We start from the raw sequence: 24419 nt of genomic DNA on the forward strand, positions 1-24419 counted from the left end.
TAAACCTTTCTTTTCATTGAGCAGTTTGGGGAGAGTGTTTTTGTAGAATCCCAGAAGCGATATTTGAGAGCGCTTTGATGCCTATAGTGAAAAACTTAATATCTTCAGATAAAAACTAGAAAGAAGGTTTCTGGGAAACTGCTTTGTGATGTGTGCATTCATCTCACAGAGTTAAACCTTTCTTTTGATTGAGCATTTTGGAAACACTGTTCTTGTAGAATCTGCAAATGGACATTTGGGAGGGCATTGAGGCTGATTGTGAAAAACAAATTATCTTCAGATAAAAACTAGAAAGAAAATTTTTGGGAAACTGCTTTGTGATGTGTGCATCCATCTCACAGAGTTAAACCATTCTTTTGATTGAGCATTTTGGAAACACTGTTCTTGTAGAATCTGCAAATGGACATTTGGGAGGGCTTTGAGGCCAGTTGTGAAAAACAAATTATCTTCAGATAAAAACTAGAAAGAAAGTTTTTGGGAAACTGCTTTGTGATGTGTGCATTCATCTCACAGTTAAACCATTCTTTTGATTGAGCAGCTTGGAAACACTGCTTTAGTAGAATCTGTGAAGGGATATATGGGAGTGCTTTGAGGTTTATGGTGAAAAAGGAAATATCTTCAGATAAAAACTAGAAAGAAGCATTCTCAGAAACTGCTTTGTGATGTGTGCATTCTTCCCACAGAGATAAAACTTTCTTTTGATTGAGAAGTCTGGAAACACTGTCTTGGTAGAATCTACGAAGGGATATATAGGAGCACCTGGAGGCCTATGATGAAAAAGGAAATATCTTCAGAGAAAAACTAGAAAGAAGCTTTCTGAGAAACTGCTCTGTGATGTGGGCATTCATCTCACAGAGGTAAACCTTTCTTTTGATTGAGCAGTTTGAAAACATTGTTTTGGTAGAATCTGGGAAGGGATATTTGGGATCGCATAGAGGCCTATTTGTCTATGGGTCACATGGAGTCTAAACAGCATGTTTATTTCTGCTATATTAAACTCCTGTTAAAACAGGGTGGTGTCTGAGTAACCACGGAAAATACGGCCACTCTAATCAACATGGTGGAAAAACATTGTCCTTGGTTTCCTGAAAAAGGAAACTTAGATGTAGAAGTATGGGATCCTGTTGCTGCAACATTCTGTGAACTGGTCTCCACAGGGAATTATGTTCCTGTCACTGTTTGGGGTGATTGGGCCTTGGCACATGCCATCCTGATGACATACCAATCCTGTGACCCTCTACAGTTACCACAATTTTATGAATCTGATGACACTCCACCTCTTCCTCAACCTTCCTCTCCTGCACAGCCTTCGTTATCTGATCACCCTCTCCCTTCAGCTACTCCTTCCCCCAACTGTCGATGTTGAGAATTCAATGTCTAATTCCAGTGACTTTGGATTACAGTCACCCCCTGATGATCTTATTTCTTTCCATGAAGAGCTGGTGCTTGTAGCTCCTGTGGCCCCGATTCACACAGCCCAGGACCATATACATGCTAATTCTTTTCTTTTCAAACCTACAGAGTCACCTAATCGCTCTGGGACCAAACTACCATTTACCTATAATTCTTTAGGCCCTCCCCCATCCACTTCAGGCCCTCACTCTCCTGTCATTTCAGTTCCTCAACTGGTCACCTTGCCATCCACTCAGCCTGCTTCTCTTTATCCTTCTTCACATATGGATGCCCGTAATCACCAGTATACTTCTGCTCCTTCTGCTCCCCTAATGCCCCTTTCTCACACTCTCATTCTGGTCCGACCCCCTCACCCTCAGTTTCCCTGATCTACACATGTTTTTCCTGTCACTTCTATGCCGACTCCATCTCAGATGCCTACTCTGGAAACTTCAATGCAATGCTTATTATGCCAAAACAAAGAAACAAATATATTAGATATGTGGACTTATCTGGTCGTGTTAGACCCTCCTACCTTCTAAGGGGTACAAATGCATCGTTATGTACCTCTTAATCTTACCTTTTTAAAAGAATTTAAGGATGCTTGTACTCAGTATGGTCCTACTTCTCCTTATGTTAAAATGGTATTACAAACTTTTTGTATTGAGGTCATTTTGCTTCCTTTAGACTGGGACATTTTGTCAAAAGCTGTTTTAACCCCATCTCAGCATTTACAATTTCGTATCTGGTGGTCAGAAGAGGCCCATTGGCAGGCTCAGCTAAATCAGACTAATAGCATTCTAATTACTCACGCTCAGCTCACAGGCTCCAATAGTTTCTCCGATGCTCATGCCCAATTAAACTTTGATGTTCTTACCACAGAAAAAGTAACAAAGGTGTGTATGATATCTTTGGATACATTATGCACTTCAGGCCAAGCTCCTGTTTCTTTTACCACAGTTAAACAAGGTAACTCTGAATTATACACTGATTTTTTAGCAAAATTAGAAGATGCTGTTCAAAATTATTTCTCTGATGAGCATGCTCAAGGTATTCTCCTTTGTATGTTAGATTTTGAAAATGCAAACCATGAGTGTAAAATGGCCATGTGTTCTGTCCAATGACAAAATTTACCTGATCACGAGGTGTTGCCTGTATATATTAAAGGTAGTGAAGACACTGGATCAGACACCCACAAAGCTATTCTCTGGGCATGGGCCATGGTGGACACCAACTAAACTGGTCCCACTAATTATTTTCTTGGAGTCTGCTATAATTGTGGTTAACTTGGTCATACTCAAAAAAATTGCACTGTTTAAAGCCTCCAAGCTGGATCAACAAACACAGCCAAATGCTGCTGCTACTGTTTGCCCACGTTGTCGCAAAGGTAAACATTGGGCAAGTAATTGCCACTCTAAGTATGATATAGATGGAAACCTCCTGCCAAAACACCAGGGAAATGGGGACTGGGGCCAATTCTAGGCCCTAATATCAAATGGGATACTTCAGACTCAGATCAATGTTGGGTTTCCACTTCAGGCAGTCTCAACACAGCCCCCATTACAAACAAATTTACCTACAGCCAACCCAAATTAGTCCAAGCCTCTCCTTCTCTCTCAGTACAATGCTTGTCCACCTCCACAGTAGGGGGTGGGGCAGTCGATCTCTCTAGTACTATTCCTTTAAATTTACTACCTAACTCTTTGCCTTTAATTGTTCCCACGGGGGTCACTGGCCCTTTATCTCGAGGTTTGGTAGGCCTGGTGTTAGATAGGGCATCCACCTCTGGTAAAGGAATGACCATTCGTAATGGTCTCATTAATTCTGATTCCATTGATGAGATTAAATTAATCATGTCTGCCAAGGTTCCTGTTTCCATTCTGGCTGGTGAGTCAATTGCTCAATTGCTTTTACTACCTAATATCGTTTTAAACAAAGGAGGTAAGACACATGGCCCTGGAATTGGCTCTTCTGGTGAAAAGCCTGATATTGGATTATTATAATTTCTAAACAATGGCTCACCTGCACAATACACATTCAAGGAAATAAGTTTAAGGGACTAGTAGATACTGGGGCTGATGTTTCTGTTATTTCCTCTACTTTACAGCCTTCCTCCTGGCTTAAACATCCTGCCAACATGGCACTAGTAGGTGTTGGAAATGCCAAGGAAGCTTATGAGAGCACATTTATCTTGCCTTGCACTGGCCCTGATTGTCAAAAGGGTACAATTCGGCTTTTTATCACACCAATCCCCATTAATCTTTGGGGTAGAGATTTACTGGCACATTGGGGGGCTGAAATTAATATTCCACATGACTCTTATAGTGCTTCCAGTCAGCATATGATGGAAAACATGGGATTTGTTCCTGGACTTGGTCTCAGTCCAAAACGTGAAGGGATTACTAAACCCCTCCCAGTTACTGTAAAAGAAAACAGGGCTGGTTTAGGTTATCCCTATTTATGGTGGCCGCTGTCACACCTCCTGATCCTATCTCTTTACAATGGAAATCTGACACACCCCTTTGGATTCAACAGTGGCTGCTTTCTAAAAAATAACTGGAGGCTTTATCTCACTTGGTTTCTGAACAGTTACAACTTGGAAATGTGGAACTTTCTCTTTCCTCCTGGAATTCTCCTGTGTTTCTAGTAAAAACGACATCAGGCAAGTGGCTGATGGTAACCAATTTAAGAGTCATTAGCTCTGCAATTAAATCTATGGTGGCAATCCAACCTGGCATGCCTGCCCCTGATTTAATACCTTTAATAATTAGAACAGCTTTTGCCAAAAGGTCCCAGTCTAAAGGAAACAAAATGACCTCAGTACAAAAAGTTTGTAATACCATTTTAACATAAGGAGAAGTAGGACCATACTGAGTACAATTTACCTATAATTCTTCAGGCCCTCCCCCGTCCATTTCAGCCCCTCATCCTCCTGTCATTTCGGTTCCTCAACTGGTCACTTTGCCATCCACTCAGCCTGCTTTTCTTTACCCTTCTTCACATATGGACACCCATAATCACCAGTATATTTCTGCTCCTTCTGCTCCCCCAATGCCCCTTTCTCACACTCTCATTCTGGTCCGACCCCCTCACCCTCAGTTTCCCTATCTACACATGCTTTTCCTGTCACTTCTCTGCTGACTCCATCTCAAATGCCTACTCTGGAAACTTCAATGCAACGCTTATTACACCAAAACAAAGAAACAAGTAAATTAGATGTGTGGACTTATCTGGTCACTCTAATAATTCCTCAGGGAATACTAAATAGCCCTACAATCTGCCCATTTTATGTTGGGCAAGTTCTTTCACCAGTTCAAGCCCAATTTTCCCAGGCCTATATTCTTCATTATATTGATGATATTTTAATTGCTGCCCACACTGATAAAGAATTAATTGACTATTTTCAAAGTTTGAGCCACCATGTTACAGAGGCTGGATTACACATCACTCAGGATAAAATTCAACAGACCACTTCTGTTCAATATTTAGGAATAGTGGTCAAAAGACAACATATTCAACCTTAAAAAGTTGAAATTAGGAGAGACTCTTTGAAAACTTTAAATGACTTCCAAAAAGTTTTGGGTAACATTAATTATGTAAGACCTACTTTAGGCATTACAACCTATGCACTGTCTAAATTGTTTTCTATGCTGCAGGGAAAGTCCAATCTCTGCAGTCTCAGAACTTTGACCCCTGAGGCTTCACCAGAACTGGAATTCGTAGAGGAAAGAATCCAAACCACTCAGTTATCTAGAGTACAGCCATTTCAGCCTTTTCAGGTTCTGGTTTTTGCTTCATTACACTCTCCTACTGTACTAATAGTTCAACATAATGATTTAGTGGAGTGGTATTTTCTTCCTCATTCTGTGTCAAAAACTTTCTCTGTTTATCTAGATCAAATGGCCACTCTAATTGGACAGGCACTGTGTAGAATACTTAAAATTTCTGGATTTGATCCAAATTTAATTGTAGTTCCTTTAAATCGGCTCGAAGTTCAGGCCACCTTTCAACATTCTGTACCGTGGCAAATTCACTTGGCTGATTTTATTGCCATTATTGACAATCATTACCAGAAGAACAAATTGTTTGATTTTATAAAAATGACATCTTGGGTGGTCCATTGATTAACCAAAGATCAGCCCTTTCCTGAGGCCTTTACACTGTGCAGTGATGGCTCCAGTAATGGCAATGCTGATTATGTAGGTCCTACAGACAAGCTTATTTGTACCCCTTACACCTCTGATCAAAAGGCAGAGTTAATTACTGTCATTACTGCCTTGAAGGATTTCCCCAAACTGGGAAATCTTCTTTCAATAGCAAATAGGAGAAATATCTTTTTGCCTTGTGACATTTCCCCAAACCTTTAAATATTGTCTCTGTATCTTCATGTGATCTCTGTGACCCACACCCTATTAGTACACTCCCTCCCCTTTTGAAAATCACTAATAAAAACTTGGTGGTTTTGTGGCTTGCACGGCATCAAGGAACCTGCCGAAATGTGATAACTCCCCCAGATACCCAGCTTTATAATTTCTCTCTTTTGTACTCTTTCCCTTTATTTCTCAGACTGGCTGACACTTAGGGAAATAGAAAAGAACCTACATGAAATAAAGTTGAATTATCAAGGACGGGTTCCCCGATAATTTTCATTCATCAGTTTGGAAACACTGTTTTTGTAGGATCTGTGAAGGGATATTTGGCAGCACATTAAGGCCTATGTTGAAAAAGAAAATATCTTCATACAAAAACTAGAAAGAAGCTTTCTTAGAAACTGCTTTTTGATGTGTGCATTCATCCCACAGTGTTAAACCTTTCTTTTGATTCAGTAATTTGAAAAAACTGCTTTTGTGGATTCTGCAAATGGACATCTGGGATTTCATTGAGGGCAATGGTGAAAAAGTGAATATATCAGGAGAAAAACTAGAAGGAAGCTGTCTGAGAAATTGCTTTGTGATGAGTGCATTCATCTTGAAGAGTTAAACCATTCTTTTCATTCAGTAGTTGGGAAACACTGTTTTTTTAGAATCAGTGAAGGAATATTTGGGAGCGCATTGAGGCCTACAGTGAAAAAATCTTCAGATAAAAACTAGAAAGAAGAGATCTGAAAAACTGCTTTGTTATGTGTCCATTTATTTAACAGAGTGAAACCTTTCTTTTGATTCAGCAGTTTGGTAACACTGTTTTTGGCGATTCTGCGAATGGACATTTAGGAACTCATTGAGGCCAATGATGGAAAAGTGAATATCCCAGAATAAAAACCAGAAGGAAACTATCTGAGAAACCACTTTGTGATATGTGCATTCATTTTGCAGAGTGCAACCATTCTTTTCATTAAGTGGTTTGGAAACACTGTTTTTGTAGGGTCTGCGAAGGGATATTTGGGAACGCATTGAGGCCCATGGCAAACAGAAGATATCTTCAGATAAAAAGTTGAATGGAACTTTCAGAGAAACTGTTTGTGATGTGTACATTCATCTCACAGAGTTAAACCTTTCTTTTGATTCAGCAGTTTGGAACCACTGCTTTGGTCCATTCTGCAAGTGGACATTTGGGAGCTCATTGAGGCCAATGACAAAAAAGTGAATATCTCAGGAGAAAAACTAGAAGGAAGCTATCTGAGAAACCACTTTGTGATGTGTGCATTCATCTCACAGAATTAAAGGCTTCTTTTAATTCGGCAGTTTGCAGACACTGTTTTTATAGGATTTGTGAAGTGATATTTTAGAATGCATAGAGGCCTATGGTGAAAAGGAAAATATCTTCAGATACAAAATAGAAAGAATCTTTCTGAGAAACTGCTTTATGATGTGTGCATTCATCTCACAGAGATAAACTTTCTTTTCATTCAGCAGATTGGAAACGCTGCTTTTGTAGAATCTGCAAACTGATATTTGGGAGCTCATTGAGGCCTATGCTGAAAAAGAATCTATCTTCATATAAAAGCTAGAAAGAAGCTTTCTGAGAAAGGGTTTGTGATGTGTGCATTCATCACACAGAGTTTAACATTTGTTTTGATTCAGGAATTTGGAAACACTGTTTTTCTCCATTCTGCAAACAGACATTTGGGAGCTCATTGACGACAATGGCAAAAAAGTGAATATCCCAGGATAAAAACAAGAAGAAGCTATCTGAAAAACCGCCTTGTGATGTATACATTCATCTCACAGAATTAAGCATTTCTATTCATTCAGCAGTTTGGAAAAACTGCTTTTGTAGAATCTGTGATGGGATATTTGGGAGTGTTTGAGATCTATGGTGAAAAAGAAAATATCTTCATAAAAAACTAGAAAGAATCTTTTGGAGAAGATTGCCACATGTGCATTCATCTCACATAGTTAAAACTTTCCTTTGATTCAGAGTTTTGGAAACACTGTTTTTGTAGAATCTGTGAAGGGATATTTGGGAGTGCATTGAGGTCTATGTTGAAAATGAATATATCTTCAGATAAAAACTAGCAGGAAGCATTCTTTAAACTGTTTTGTGATGTGTGCTTTCATCTCTCATAGTTAATCCTTTCTTTCTATTTAGCAGTTTGGATAAACTGTTTTTGTCCATTCTGCGAATGCACATTTGTGAGCTCATTGAGGCCAGTGGTGAAAAAGTGAATATCCCAGCATAAAAACTAGAAGGAAGCTATCTGAGAAACCTCTTTGTGACGTGTGTATTCGTCTCACAGATATAAACCTGCTTTTTCATTCGGCATTTTGGAAACACTGTTTTTGTAGAACCTGCAAAGGGATATTTGAGAATGCATTGTCTATGGTGAAAAAGAAAATGTCTTCAGATAAAAACTGAAAATGTTTCTGAGAAACTGCTTTGTGATGTGTGCCTTCATCTCACAGAGTAACCATTTCTTTTAATTCAGCAGTTTGGAAAAACTGTTTTTGTCCATTCTGTGAATGGACATTTGGGAGCACATTGAGACCAATGGAGAAAAAGTGAATATTCCAGGATAAAGACTAGAAGGAAGCTATCTGAAAAATCACTTTGTCATGTGTGCATTCATCTCACAGAGATAAACCATTCTTTTCATTAAGCAGCTTGGAATATCCATTTTTGTAGAATCAGCAAAGGGATAGTTGGGAGGCCATTTATGCCAAAAGTGAGAAAGCGAATATCCCAAGATAACTTTTAGATGGAAGCTGTCTGAGAAACCCCCTTGTAATATGTGCATTCATTTCACAAGGTTAAACTTTTCTTTTCGTTCAGCAGTTTGGAAACACTGTTTTCATAGAAGCTGCGAAGGGGTATTTTGAATTGCATTGAGGCCTAGGGTGAAAAAGAAAATATCTTGAGAGAAAAACTAGAAAGATGCTTTCTGAGAAACTGTCTTGTGAGGTCTCCATTTATCTAACAGAATGAAAGCTGTCATTTGATTCAGCAGTTTGGAAACTCTGTTTTTGTCCATTTTCCGAATGGACATTTGGGAGCTCATTGAAGACAATGGCGAAAAAGCAAGTATCCCTGGATGAAAACTAGAACAAAGCTATCTGAGAAATTGCTTTGAGATGTTTGCATTCAGGTAGCAGAGTGAAATATTACTTTTCAATCAGCAGTTTGGAAACACTATTTGGGAGCGAATTGAGGCCTGTGGTGAAAAAGAAATTATTTTCAGATAAATACGGAAAAGAAGCTTTCTTGGAAACTGCTTTGTGATGTGTGCTTTCATCTCACACAGTTAATCCTTTCTTTTCATTCAGCAGTTTGGGAACACTGTTTTTGTAGAATCTGTGAAGGGATATTTGGGAGCAACTTGAGGCCTATGGGAAAAACAAAATATCTTCAGATATGAACTAGAAAGAAGATTTCTGAGAAACTGCTTTGTGATGTGTGCATTCATCCCACAGAGTTAAACTTTTGTTTTCATTCAGCAGCTTGGAAACACTGTTTTTGTCCATTTTGTGAATGGATGTTTTGGAGCTCATTGAGGTCAATGGCAAAAAAGCAAGTATGCCAGGATAAAAACTACAAGGAAGCAATCTGAGAAACTGCTTTGTGATGTGTGCATTCATCTCACATAGTTAAACTTTTCTTTTTATTCAGAAATTTGGAATCACTGTTTTTGTAGAATCTGCAAAGGGATATTTGGGAGTACATTGAGGCCTATAGTGAAAAATAAAATATCTTCAGAGAAAAACAAGAAAGAAACTTTCTGAGAAACTACTTTCAGGTGTGTACATTCATCTCACAGAGTTAAAACTTTTATTTGATTGAGCAGTTTGGAAACACTGTTTTGGAAGTATTGCAAAGGTTTATTTGGGAGCCAATTGAAGCCTATAGTGAAAAATGAAGTACCTTTAAATAAAAACTAGAAAAAAGCTTTCTCAGAAACTGCTTTGTGATGTGAGCACTCTTCTCACAGTGTTAAACCTTTCTTTTGATTGAGCAGTTTGGAGACACTGTTTTGGTGGAATCTGCGAAGGGATATTTGGAAGCACTTTGAGGCCTATGATGAAAAAAGGAAATATCTACAGATAAAAACTAGAAAGAAGCTTTCTGGGAAACTTATTTGCCATGTGTGCATTCATCTTACAGAGTTAAACCTTTCTTTTGATTGAGCAATTTGGAAACACTGTTTTTGTAGAATCTGCTGAGGGATATTTGGGAGCGCTTTGAGGGCAATGGTGAAAAAGGAAATATCTTCAGATAAAAACTAGAAAGAAGCTTTCTCAGAAATCGTTTTGTAGGGTGTGCATTCTTCTCACAGAGTTAAACGTTTGTGTTGATTGAGCAGTTTGGAAATACTGTTCTTGTAGAATCTGCGATGGGATATATGGGAGCACATTGTGGCCTATGTTGAAAAATGAAATATCTTCAGAGAAAAACTAGAAAGAAACCTTCTGAGAAACAGCATTGTTATGTGTTTATTTTTCTAACAGATTTAAACTTTTCTATTGATTGAGCAGTCTGGAAACACTGTTTTTTTTAGAACCTAAGCAGGGATATATGGGAGAGCATTGAGGCCTATGGTGAAAAAGTAAATATCTTCTGAGAAAAACTGAAAAGAAGCTATCTGAGAAATGGCTTTTTGATGTGTGCATTCATCTCACAGAGTTAAATCTTTCTTTTGATTGAGCAGTTTGGAAACACTGTTTTGGTAGAATCTGCGAAGGGAAATTTGGGAGCACTTTCAGGCCTATGGTGAAAAAGGAAATATCTTCAGATAAAAAGTAGAAAGAAGCTTTCTGATAAACTGCTGTGTGTAGAATACATTCACCTCACAGAGTTAAACTTTTGTTTTGATTGGGCAGTTTGGCAGCAGTATTTTTGTAGAATCTCAGAAGAGATATTTTGTAGCACTTTGAGGCCTAAGGTGAAAAATGAAATATCCTCAGATTAAAACTAGAAAGAAGCTTTCTGAGGAAACTGCTTTGTGATGTGTGTATTAATCTCACAGAGTTAAGCCTTTCTTTTGAGTGAGCAGTGTGGAAACCTTCTTTTGGTAGAATCAGGAAAGAGATACTTGGGAGCGCATTTAGGCATATGATGAAAAAGAAAATATCTTTAGATAAAAACCAGAAAGAAGGTGTCTCGGCAACTGCTTTGTGATGCAAACATTCCTCCACAGAGTTACACCTTGCTTTTCATTGAGCAATTTGGTGACACTGTTTTGGAAGTAACTGCGTAGGGATATTTTGGAGTGCACTGAGGCCTATGGTGAAAAAGGAAATATCTTCAGATAAAAATTTGAAAGAAGCTTTCTCAGAAACTGCTCGGTGATGTGTGCATTCTTCTCAAAGAGTTAAGCCCTACTTTTGATTGAGCAGTTTGGAAACACTGTTTTGGTAGAATCTGTGAGGGGATATTAGGGAGCGCTTTGAGGCCAATGGTGAAAAAGCAAATATCATCAGAAGAAAACTAGAAAGAAGCATTCTGGGAAACTGCTTTGTGAGGTTTGCATTCATCTCACAGAGATAAACCTTTCTTTTGATTGAGCAGTTTGGAAACACTGTTGTTGTAGAATCTGCAGAGGGTTATTTGGGAGCCCATTTAAGCATATGTTGCAAAAGGAAATATCTTCAGATAAAAACTGGAAATAAGCTTTCTCAGAAACTATTTTGTGATGTGTGCATTCTTCTCACAGAGTTATACCTTCCTTTTGAGTGAGAAGTTTGTAAATACTGTTTTTGTAGTATCTGAAAATGGATATATCAGAGCAGATTGAGGCACAGAGTGAAAAAGGAAATATCTTCACAGAAAACAAGAAAGAAGCTTTCTGAGAAACAACTTCATAATGTGTAAATTCTTCTAACAGGGTTAAAACTTTCTTTTGATGGAGCAGTCTGGAAACACTGTTTTGGTAGAATCCACTGAGGGATATATGGGAGGGCATTGATGCCTATGGTGAAAAAGGAAATATCTTCAGAGAAAAATTAGAATAGAAGCTTTCAGAGAAATTACTTTGTGATGTGTGCATTCATCTCACAGAGTTAAACCTTTCTTTTGATTGAGCAGATTGGAAACAATGTTTTGGTAGAATCAGTGAAGGGATATTTTGGAGTGTATTGAGGCCTATGGTGTAAAAGGAAATATCTTCAGAGAAAAAGTACAGGGAAGCTTTCTGAGAAACTGCTTTGAGATGAGTGCATTCTTCACACAGAGTAAAACCTTTCTTTGATTGGGCCACTTGGCAACAGTGTTTTTGTAGAATCTGAGAAAGGATATTTGGGAGCACTTTCAGGCCCATGGTGAAAAACGAAATATCTTCAGATAAAAACTAGAAAGAAACATTCTGGGAAACTGCCTTGTGGAGTGTGCCTTCATCTCACAGAGTTAACCCTTTCATTTGATTGTGCAGTGTGGAAACACTCTTTTGTTAGAAACTGTGAAGAGATATTTCGGAGCACATTGAGGCCCATAGAGAAAAATGAAATATCTTCAGATAAAAACTAGAAAGAAGCTTTCTCAGAAATTGCTTTGTGATGTGTGCATCCTTCTCACAGCATTAATCGTTTCTTTTGATTGAGCAGATTGGAAACACTGTATGTGTAGTATCTGTGAAGAGATATTTTGGAGCACATTGAGGCCTATGGTGAAAAAGGAAATACCTTCAGATTAAAACTAGAAAGAAGCTTTCTCAGAAACCACTTTGTGATGTATGCATTCTTCTCACAGAGTTAAACATTCCTTTTGATGGAGCAGTTCGGAAATACTGTTTTTGAAGAATCTGAGAAGGGATATTTCGGAGTGCTTTGCAGCCTATGTTGAAAAAGCAAATTTCTTCAGATGAAAAGTAGAAAGAAGCTTTCTGAGAAACTGTCATCTTGGGAATGAGTGCAATCATCTCACAGAGTTAGACCTTTTTATTGATTGAGCAGTTTGGCAACAATCTGCAGTTTTAGGCAATCTGCAGAGGGATATTTGGGATCGCTTTGAGGCCTATGCTGAAAAAGGAAGTGTCTTTAGAAAACAACTAGAAAGAAACTGTCTGAGAAACTGCTTTGTGATGATTGCATTCATCTCCCAGAGTTAAACCTTTCTTTCAATTGAGCCGTTTTGAAACACTGTTTATGTGGAATCTGCGATGGGACATTTTGGAGCGCTTGTGGCCTGTGGTGAAAAAGGAAATATATTCAGATAAAAACTAGAAAGAAGGTTCCTGAGAAACAGTTTTGTGATGACTGCATTCATCTCACAGAGTTAAACTTTCCTTTGATTGGGCTGTTTGGCAACACTGTTTTTGTAGAACCTGAGAAGGGATATTTGGGACGATTTGAGACATATGGTGAAAAAAGAAACATCTTCAGATAAAAAATAGAAAAAAAGATTTCCGGGAAACTGCTTTGCAATATGTACATTCACCTCACAGAGTTAAGCCTTTCTTTTGAATGAGCAGTTGGGAAACACTGGTTTTATAGAATCTCTGAAGGGATATTTGGGAGCACTTTGAAGCCTATGGTGAAAAAGTAATTATCTTCAGAAAAAAACTAAAAAGAAGCTTTCTGAGAAACTGTTTTGTGATGACTACATTTTTCTCAGAGAGTTAAACCTTTCTTTTGATTGAGCAATTTGGAAACAATGTTTTTGTAGAATCTGCAAAGGGATATTTTGGAGCTCTTTCATGCCAATGGTGAAAAAGGAAACATCTTCAGATAAAAAGTAGAAAGAAGTTTTCTGAGAATCTACTTTGAGATGAGTGCATTCATCACACAGAGTTAAATCTTTCTTTGATTGAGCAGTTTGGCAACAGTGTTTTTGTAGAATCTAAGGGATATTTGAGAGCATTTTGAGGCCTATGGTGAAAAACAGAGTAGCTTCAGATAAAAACTAGAAAGAAGCTTTCTGGGAAACTGCTCTGTGATGTGTGCATTCATCTCATAGAATTAAATCCTTCTCTTAATTGAGCAGTGTGGAAACACTTTTTTGTAGAATCTGTGAAGAGACATTTCAGACTGCATTGAGGCCTATGGTGAAAAAGGAAAACTAGAAAGAAGCTTTCTTAGACACAACTTTGTGATATGAACATTCTTCTCACAGCATTAAACTTTTCTTTTGACTGAGCATATTGGAAACACTGTTTTTACAGAATCCACGAAGAGATATTTGGGAGCACATTGAGGCCTAAGGTGAAAAAGGAAATGTCTCAGATACAAACTAGAAAGACGCTTTCTAAGAAACTGTTTATTGATGTGTGCATTCATCTCACAGAGTTAAACCTTTCCTTTGATTGACGAGTTTGGCAACACTGGCTTTATAGAATCTGCGAAGGGATATTTGAGAGTGCTTTGAGGCCTATGGTGAAAAATGAAATATCTTCACAGAAAACTAGAAAGAAGCTTTCAGAGAAACTGCTTTGGAATGAGTGCATTCATCTCACAGAATTAAACCTTTCCTTTCATTGAACAGTTTGGCAACACTGACTTTATAGATTCGGCAAAGGGATGTTTGGGAGCACTTTGAGGCCTATGGTGGAAAAGGAAATATCTTCAGAAAGAAGCTGTCTGAGAAACTGCCTTGTGATGAGAGCATTCATCTCAAAGAGTTAAACCTTTCTTTTGATTGAGCAGTTTGGAAACACTGTGTTGGTAGTATCTGCAAGGGGACATTTTGGAGTGCTTTAAGTCCTATGATGAAAAATGAAATATCTTCAGATATATAATAGAAAGAAGCTTTCTCAGAAACCGTTTTGTGATGTGTCTATTCTTCTCACATAGTTAAACCCTTTTTTTGATTGAGCAGTTTGGAAACACTGTATTGGAAATATCTGTGAAGGGATATTTGGGAGTGCTTTGAGGCCTATGGTGAAAAAGGAAATATCTTCAGATAAAAAATAGGAAGAAACTTTCTGAGAAACTGCTTTGTGATTAATTCATTCATCTCACAGAGTTAAACCTTTCTTTGGATTGAGCAGTTTGGCAACAGTGTTTTTCTAGAATCTAAGAAGGGATATTTTGGGATGCTTTGAGGCTTCTGGTGAATAACGAAATATCTTCAGATAAAAACTAGAAAGAAGCTTTCTGAGAAACTGCTTTGTGATGAGTGCATTCTTTTCATGGAATTAAACCTTTCTTTTGATTGACCAGATTGGAAACATTGTTTTTGTAGAATCTGCAAAGGAATATTTGGGAGCTCTTTTAGGTCAATGGTGAAAAAGGAAATATCTTCAGATAAAAAGTAGAAAGAAGCTTTCTCAGAAACTGCTTTGAGATAAGAGCATTCTTCACCCAGAGTTAAACCTTTCTTTGATTGATCAGTTTGGCAACAGTGTTTTTGTAAAATCTGAGAAGGGATATTTGGGGGCACTTTCAGGCCTATGGTGAAAAACGAAATATCTGCAGATAAAAACTGGAAAGAAACATTCTGTGAAGCTGCTTTGTGAAGTGTGCATTCATCTCACAGAGTTAAACCTTTCTTTTGATTGAGCAGTGTGGAAACATTGTTTTGGTAGAATTTGTGAAAAGATATTTCGGAGCGCATTGAGGCTTAGGGTGAAAAAGGAAATGTCTTCAGATAAAAACTAGAAAGAAGGTTTCTTAGAAAGCACTTTGTGACATGTGCATTCTTCTCACAGTGTTAATCTTTTCTTTTGATTGAGCAGATTGAAAACACTGTATTTGAAGTATCTGTGAAGAGATATTTGGGAGCATATTGAGGCCTATGATGAAAAAGGAAATATCTTCAGATACAAACTAGAAAGAGGCTTTCTCAGAAACATTTTTGTGACGTGTGCATTCATCTCACAGAGTTAAACCTTTCTTTTAATTGAGGAGTGTGGAAATATTTTTGTGTTGAATATGAGAAGAGAAATTTTGGAGTGCTTTTAGGCCTATGGTGAAAAAGGAAATATCTTCAAATGCAAACTAGAAAGTAGCTTTCTGAGAAACTGCTTTGGAATGAGAGCATTCATCTCATAGAGTTAAACATTTCTTTTGACTGAGCAGTTTGGCAACACTGGCTTTATAGTATCTGCAAACGGATATTTTGGAGTGCTTTGAGGTCTAAGGAGAAAAAGGGAATGTCTTCAGAAAAAACTAGAAACAGCTTTTGGAGAAACTGCTTTTTGAAGTGTGCATTAATCACACAGAATGAAACCTTAATTTGATTGAGTAGTTTGGGAAAAGTGTTTTCACAGAATCTGTGAAAGGGTATTTGGGAGAGACTAGGGTGAAAAAGGAACTACATTCACAGAAAAACTAGAAAGAAGCCTTCTGAGAAACTGCTTTGTGATGTGTACATACATCTCACAGAGTTAAACCTCTCTTTTGATTAAGCAGTTTGTCCACAGTGTGTTTTTAGAATCTGAGAAGGGACAGTAGGAGGCACTTTGAGGCCTATGATGAAAAATGGAATATCTTCAGATAAAAAATAGAAAGAAGCTTTCTGAGAAACTCCTTGGAATGAGTCCATTCGTCTCACACAGTTAAACGTTTCTTTTGATTGAGCAGTTTGGCAACACTGGTTTTAAAGAATCTGTGAAGGGATATTTGGGAGCGCTTTGAGGCCTATGGTGAAAAAGAAAATATCTTCAGAAAAAAGTAGAAAGAAACGTTCTCTGAAACTGCTTTGTGATGAGTGCATTGTTTTCACAGAGTTAAACCTTTCTTTTGATTGAGCAGTTTGGAAACACTGTTTTTGTAGAATCTTCGAAGGTACATTTTGGAGCACATTGAGGCCTATGGTGAGAAAGGAAATATCTTCAGAGAAAAACTAGAAAGAAGCTTTCTCAGAAACCGTTTTGTGATGTGTTCATTCTTCTCACAGAGTTAAACTTATCATTTGATTGAGCAGTTTGCAAACACTTTGTATAATATTCAAAGGGACTTTTTGGAGCTCATTGAGGCCTACAGAGAAAAAGGAAGTATTTTCAGAGAAAAAATAGAAGCTTTCTGAGAAACTGCTTTGTGATGTGTGCAATCTTCTAACAGAGATAATCTTTCCTTTTGATTGAGCAGTCTGGAAACACTGCTTTTGTAGAATCTTCAAAGAGACATATGGGAGCGTTTTGAGGCTTACAGCGAAAAAGGAACTATCTTCTTAGAAATATTAGAAAGAAGCTCTCTGAGAAACAGCTTTGTGATGTGTGCATTCATCTCACAGAGTTAAAACTTTCTTTTGATTGAGCAGTTTGGAAACACTGTTTTGGTAGAATGTACGAAGGGATATTTGGGAACCCTTTCAGGCCTATGGTGAAAAAGGCAATTTCTTCTAATAAAAACTAGAAAGAAATTTTCTGAGAAACTGCTTTGTGGTAAGTACATTCATCTCACAGAGTTAAACCTTTCTTTCTTTTGATTGATCAGTTTGGCAACAGTGTTTTTATAGAATCTGTGAAGGGATATTTGGGAGGCCTTTGAGGCCTATGGTGAAAAATGAAATATCTTCAGATAAGAAATAGAAAGAAGCTTTCTGGGAAACTGCATTGTGATGTCTGCATTCATCTCACAGACTTAAACCTTTCTTTTGATGAGCAGTGTGGAAACACGTTTTGATAGAAACTGCAAAGAGATATTTTGGAACACTTTTAGGCCTATTGTGAAAAAGGCAATAACTTCAGAGAAAAACTAGCAAGAAGCTTTCTCAGAAACCGTTGTGTGATGTCTGCATTCAGCTCAGAGTGTTAAACCCTTCCTTTCTTTGAGCAGTTTGGAAACACTATTTAGTTAGAATCTGTGAAGGGATATTTGGAAATGCATTGTGGTATATAGTGAAAAAGGAAATATCTTCGGATAATAACTAGAAGTCAGTTTTTTCTGTAACTGCTTTGTGATAAGTGCATTTATCTCACAGAGTTAAACCTTTCTGTTGACTAAGCACTTTGGAAACACTGTTTTGGTAGAATCTGTGAAGGGATAGTTGGAAGTGCATTGTGGCCTGTGGTGAAAAAGGAAATATCTTCAGATCATAACTATAAAGAAGCTTTCTGGGAAACTGCTTTGTGATGAGTGCATTCATCTCACAGAGTTAAACATTTCTATTCATTGAGAAGTTTGGTAACAGTGTTTTGTAGAATCAGAGAAGGGATATTTAGAAGCACTTTGAGGCATATGGTAAAAAACAAAATATCTAAAGATAGAAACTAGAAATAAGCTTTCTCAGAAATGGTTTTGTGATGTGAGCATTCATCTCACAGGGTTAAACCTTTCTTTGGTTGAGCAGCTTGGAAACACTGTTTTGGTAGGTTCTGTGAAGGGATATTTGGGAGTGCTTCCATGGTTATGGTGAAAAAGAAAATATCATCAGGTAAAAACTAGAAAGAAGCTTTCTGAGAAACTGTTCTGTGATGAGTACACTCTTCACAGAGTTAAACCTTTCTTTTGATTGAGCAGTTTGCCAAAAGTGTTTCTGTGGAATCTGAGAAGGAATATTTTGGAGCCCTTTGAGGCCTATGGTGAAAAATGAAATATCTTCAGATAAAAACTAGAAAGAAGGTTTCTGGGAAACTGCTTTGTGATGTGTGCATTCATCTCAAAGAGTTAAACTTTTCTTTTAATTGAGCAGTGTGGAAACACTGTTTTTGTGGAATCTGTGAGGAGTTATTTTGGAGTGCATTGAGGCCTATGGTGAAAAACGAAGTATCTTCCAAGAAAAACTAGAAAGAAGCTTTCTCAGAAATCGTTTTGTGATGTGTGCATTCTTCTCACAGAGCTAAACTTTTCTTTTGATTGAGCAGATTGGAAAACTTTTTTTTTTTAGAATCTGAGAAGGGTTATATGAGAGTGCATTGAGGCCTACGGTGAAAAAGGAAATATCTTCAGAGTAAAACTAGAAAGAATCTTTCTAACATCCTGCTTTGTGAGATGTGCATTCATCTAACAAAGTTAAAACTTTCTTTTGATTGAGCAGTCTGGAAACACTGTTTTGTGCAATCTTCCAAGGGATATGAGGGAGCACATTGAGGACTATGATGAAAAAGGAAATATCTTCAGATAACAAATCGAAAGAAGCAGTCTGGGAAACTGCTTTGTGATGAGAGCATTCATCTCACTGAGTTAATCCTTTCTTTTGATTGAGCAGTGTGGAAACACTGTTTTTGAAGAATCTACGAAGAGATGTTTGGGGGAACATTGAGGCCTATAGTGAAAAAGGAAATATCCTCAGATAAAAACTAGAAAGAAGCTTTCTCAGAAATGGCTTTATGATGTGTGCATTCTTCTCACAGATTTAAACTTTTCTTTTGATTTAGCAGTTTGGAAACACTGTTTTTGTAGAATCTGAGAAGAGATATTTTGGAGCACTTTGAGGCCTAAGGTGAAAAAGGAAATCTCTTCAGATGAAAATTAGAAAGAAGCTTTCTGAGAAACTGCCTTGGGGTCATTTCATTTATCTAACAGAGTTAAACCATACTTTTGATTGAGCAGTTTGGCAACACTTGTTTTATAGAATCTGCAAAGGATATTTGAGAGTGCATTTAGCCCTATGGTGAAAAAGGAAATATCTTCAGATAAAAACTAGAAAGAAGTTTTCTGGGAAACAGCTTTGTGTTGTGTGCATTCATCTCTCAGAGTTAAAAATTTCTTGTTATTGAGCAGTATTGAAATATTGAAACACTGTTTTGGAAGTATCTGTGAAGGTATATTTTTGAGTGCATTGAGGACTATGGTAAGAAAGGAACTACCTTCAGATAAAAACTAAAAGAAGGTTTCTCAGAAACCACTTTGTGATGTGTGCTCTGTTCTCAAAGAGTTAAACCTTATTTTTGATTGAGCGTTTGAAAACACTGTTTTGGTTGAATGTGTTAAGGGATATTTCGGTGTGCTTTGAGGCCTATGGTGAAAAAGGAAATATCTTCAGATAAAAATTAGAAAGAATCTTTCTAGGAAACTGCTTTGTCATGTGTGCCTTCATTTCACAGAGTTAAACCTTTCTTTTGATCAAGCAGTTTGGAGACCCTGTTTTTGTAAAATCTGCAGAGGTGTATTTGGGAGCAATTTGAGGCCTATGGTGAAAAAGTAAATATCTTCAGATAAAAACCGTTTTGTGATGTGTGCATTCTTCTCACAGAGTTAAATCTTTCTTTTCATTGAGCAGTTTGGAAATACTGTTTATTTTAGATTCTATGAAGAGATGTATGGGAGTACTTTGAGGCCTATGGTGAAGAAGGAAATGTCATCAGAGAAAAACTAGAAAGAAGCTTTCTGAGAAACTACTTTCTGATGTGTGAATTCATCCTGCACAGGTAAATTTTTCTTTTCATTGAGCAGTTTGGAAACACGGTTTTGGTAGAATCTGTGAAGGGATATTTGGAAGCGCATTGTGGCTTATGGTGAAAAAGGAAATATCTTCATATAAAAACTGGAAAGAAGCTTTCCAGGAAACTGCTTTGTGATGAGTGCATTCAACTCACAGAGTTCAACATTTATTTTCATTGAGCAATTTGGGAACAGTGTTTTTGTAGAATCTGAGAAGGGATATGTGGAAGTACTTTGAGGCATATGGTGAAAAATGAAATATCTTCAGATAAAATCTAGAAAGAAGCTTTCTCAGAAACTGCTTTGTGATGTGAGAATTCATCCCACAGTGTTAAACCTTTCCTTTGATTAAGCAGTTTGGAAGCCCTGTTTTGGTAGAATCTGCGAAGGGATATTTTGGAGCACTTTCTGGCCTATGGTGAAAAAGGAAATATCTTCAGATAAAAACTAGAAAGACACTTTCAGAGAAACTGCTTTGTGATGTGTACACTCCTCTCACACAGCTAAATCATTCTTTTGATTGAGCAGTTTGGCAACAGTGTTTTTATAGAATCTGCAAAGGGATATTTGGGAGTGATTTGAGGCCTATGGTAAAAAACAAAATATTTTCACATAAGAACCAGAAGGAATGTTTCTCAGAAACTGCTTTGTGAGGCATGCATTCATGTCACAGAGTTAAACCTTTCTATTAATTGAGCAGTGTAGAAACACTGGTTTTATAGAATCTGTGAAGAGATATTTGGGAGGGCATTGAGGTCTATGGTGAAAAACGAAGTATCTTCTGAGAAAAATTAGAAAAACGCTTTCTCAGAAACCGCTTTGTGATGTGTGCATTCTTCTAACACAGTTAAACTTTCTTTTGATTGAGCAGATTGGAAACTCAGTTTTTGTAGAATGTGAGAATGTATATATGAGAGCACCTTGAGTCCTAGGGTGAAAAATAAACTATCTTCAGAGTAAAACTAGAGGGAAATTTTCTGACATCCTGCTTTGTGATGTGTGCATTCATCTCACAGAGTTAAAACTTCCTTTTGATTGAGCAGTCTGAAAACACTATTTTTGTACAATCTGGGAAGGGCTATTTGGAAGTGCATTGAGACCTATGGTGAAAAAGGAAGTATCTTCAGATAAAAACTAGAAAGAAGCTTTCTGATAAACTGCTTTGTGAAAAGAAAGCTCAAGCTTTCTTTTGCTTGAGCAGTTTGGAAACAATGTTTTGGCAGGATCTGCAAACAGATATTTGGAATTGCATTGTGGGCTATGGTGAAAAAGGAAATATCTTCAGAGAAAAACTGGAAAGAAACTTTCTGGGAAACTGCTTTGTTATGTGTGCATTCATCTCTCTGTGTTAAAACTTCATTTTTATTGAGCAGCTTTGCAACACTGTTTTTGTAGAATCTGAGAAGGGATATTTTGAGTGCTTTGAGGCCAATGGTGAAAAAGGAAATAACTTCAGACAAATACTAGAAAGAAGCTTTCTCGGAAACTGCTGTGTGATGTGTGCATTCTTCTCACAGAGAGCTTAACCTCGCTTTTGATTGAGCAGTTTGGAAACACAGTTTTTGTAGAATCTGTGAAGAGATATTTGGAAACACCTCAAGGACTATGGTGAAATAGGAAGGAACTTCAGATAAAATTAGGAAGAAGAATTCTGAGAAACTGCTTTGTGAGGTGTACATTCATCAAATACAGTTAGAACTGTCTTTTGATTGAGCAGATTGTAAACACGGTTTTTGTAGAATCTGCAAAGGTGTGTTTGGGAGTGCATTGAGGCCTATGGTGAAAAAGGAAATATCTTCAGATAAAAACTATACAGAAGCTTTCTGAGAATCTGCTTGATGATGAGTGCATTCTTCTTACAGAGTTAAAACTTTCTTTTGATTGAGCAGTTTGACAACACTGTTTTTGTAGAAACTGCAATGGGACATTTGGGAGAGCATTGAGGCTTACGGTGAAAAAGGAAATATCTTCACATAAATACTAGAAAGAAGAATTCTCTGAAACTGCTTTGTGATGAGTGCATTCTTCTCAGAGATTTAAATTATTGTTTTGATTGGGCAGTTTGGAAACACTGTTTGGGTACAATCTGAGAAGGGATATTTGGAGGGCACTGAGGCCTATGGTGAAAAAGGAAATATTTTCAGACAAAAACTAGAAAGAAGCTTTCTGGGAAACTGCTTTGTGATGTGTGAAGTCTTCTCACAGAGTTTAACTTCACTTTTGATTGAGCAGTTTAGAAACACTATTTTTGTAGAATCTATGTAAGCATATATGGGAGCACATTGAGGCCTACATTGAAAAAGGAAATATCTTCAGAGAAAAACTTTAAAGAAACATTCTCAGAAACTGCTTTGTGATGTTGGCAATCATCTCATGGAGTTTAAACATTCTTTTGATTGAGCAGTTGGGAAACAATGTTTTTGTGGAATCTGAGAAGGGTTGTTTGGGAGGGGATAGAGGTCTGTGGTGAAGAAGGAAATATCTTCAGAAAAAAACTAGAAAGAAGCATTCTGGGAAACTGCTTTGTGATGTCTGCATTCATCTCACAGAACTAAACTTTTCTTTTGATTGCACAGTTTGGAAACATTCTTTTGGTAGAATCTGCGAAGGGATATTTGAGAATGCATTGAGGCACACGGTGAAAAAGGAAATATCTTCAGATAAAAATTAGGAAGAAGCTTTCTAAGAGACTGCTTTGTGATGAGTGCATTCATCTCACCAGGTTAAACCTTTCTTTAGATTGAGCAGTTTGGCAACTGTGTTTTTATAGAATCTAAGAAGGGATTTTTGGAATGCTTTGAGGCCTAGGGTGAAAAACAAAACATCTTCAGATAAAAACTAGAAAGAAGCTTTCTGGGAAACTGCTTTGTGATGTGTGCATTCATTTCTCTGTGTTAAAACTTTATTTTGATTCAGTAGTTTTGAAACACTGTTTAGGTAGAATCTGCAAAGGGATATATGGGAGCATATTGAGGTCTATTGTGAAAAAGGAAATACCTTCAGGGAAAAACCAGAAAGAAGCTTTCTGAAAAACGGCTTTGTGATATGTGTATTCATCGCACAAAGGTAAAACTTTCTTTTAATTGAGCAGTTTTGAAACACTCTTTTGGAAGTATCTATGAAGGGATATTTGGGAGTGTATTGAGGCCTATGGTGAAAAAGTAAATATCTTCGGATAAAAAATAGAAAGAAGCATTCTGAGAAACTGCTTTCTGATGAGTGCATTCATCTCATAGTGATAAAACTTTCATTTCATTGAGAAGTTTGGCAACACTGTTTTTGTAGAATCTGCCTAAGGATATTTGGGAGCACTTTGAGGCCTATATTCAAAAATTAAATATCTTCAGAAAAAACTAGAAAGAAGCTTTCTGAGAAACTTCTTTGTGATGAGTGCCTTCTTCTCACAGAGTTAAACCTTTCTTTTGATGGAGGAGTTTGGAAACACTGTTTTTGTAGAATCTGCGAAGGGGTATTTTGGAGTGCATTGGGGCTTATGGTGAAAAAGAAATATCTTCAGATAAATACTAGAAAGAAGCTTTCTCGAAACTGTTTTATGATGTGTGCATTCGACTTACAGTGTTAAAACATTCTGGTGATTGAGCAGTTGGAAAACATTGTTTTGGAAAAATCTGCCAAGGGATATATTTGGGAGCCCATTGAGGCCTATTGTGAAAAAGGAAATATCTTCAGATTAAAACTAGAAATAAGCTTTCTGAGAATCTGTTTTTCTATAAGTGCAATCATCTCACAGAGTGAAACCTTTCTTTTCTTTGAGTGGTTTGGCAAAAGTGTTTTTGTAGAATCTGAGAAGGGATATTTGAGATCACCTTGAGGCCTATGTTGAAAAAGGAAATATCATCAGATAAAAAGTAGAAAGAAGCTTTATGGTAAACTGCTTTGTGATGTGTGCGTTTATCTCACAGAGTTAAACTTTTCTTTTCATTGAGCAGTTTGGAAACACTGTTTTTGTAGAGTCTGTGAAGGGATATTTGGAAGTGCATTTTGGTCTATGGTGAAAAAAGGAAATATCCTCAGATAAAAATAAGAAAGAAGCTTTCTGGGAAACTACTTTGTGATGAGTGCAATTATCTCACAGAGTTAAACCTTTCTTTTCATTGAGCAGTTTGGGAACAGTGTTTTTGTAGAACCTGAGAAGGGAAATTTGGGAGCACTTTGAGGCCTATGTGGAAAATGAAATATCTTCAGATAAAATCAAGAAAGAAGCTTTCTGGGAAACTGCTTTGTGATGTGTGCATTAATCTCACAGAGTTAAACTTTTCTTTTGATTGAGCAGTTTGGAAACATTGTATTGTTAGAATCTGTGAAGGGATATTTTGGAGTGCATTGAGGCCTATGAGAAAATGAAATATCTTCAGATAAGAACTAGAAAGAGGTTTT

The sequence above is a fragment of the Homo sapiens genome, chromosome 19, assembly GCF_000001405.40.
Source record: "Homo sapiens chromosome 19, GRCh38.p14 Primary Assembly".
NCBI classification, from domain to species: domain Eukaryota; kingdom Metazoa; phylum Chordata; class Mammalia; order Primates; family Hominidae; genus Homo; species Homo sapiens.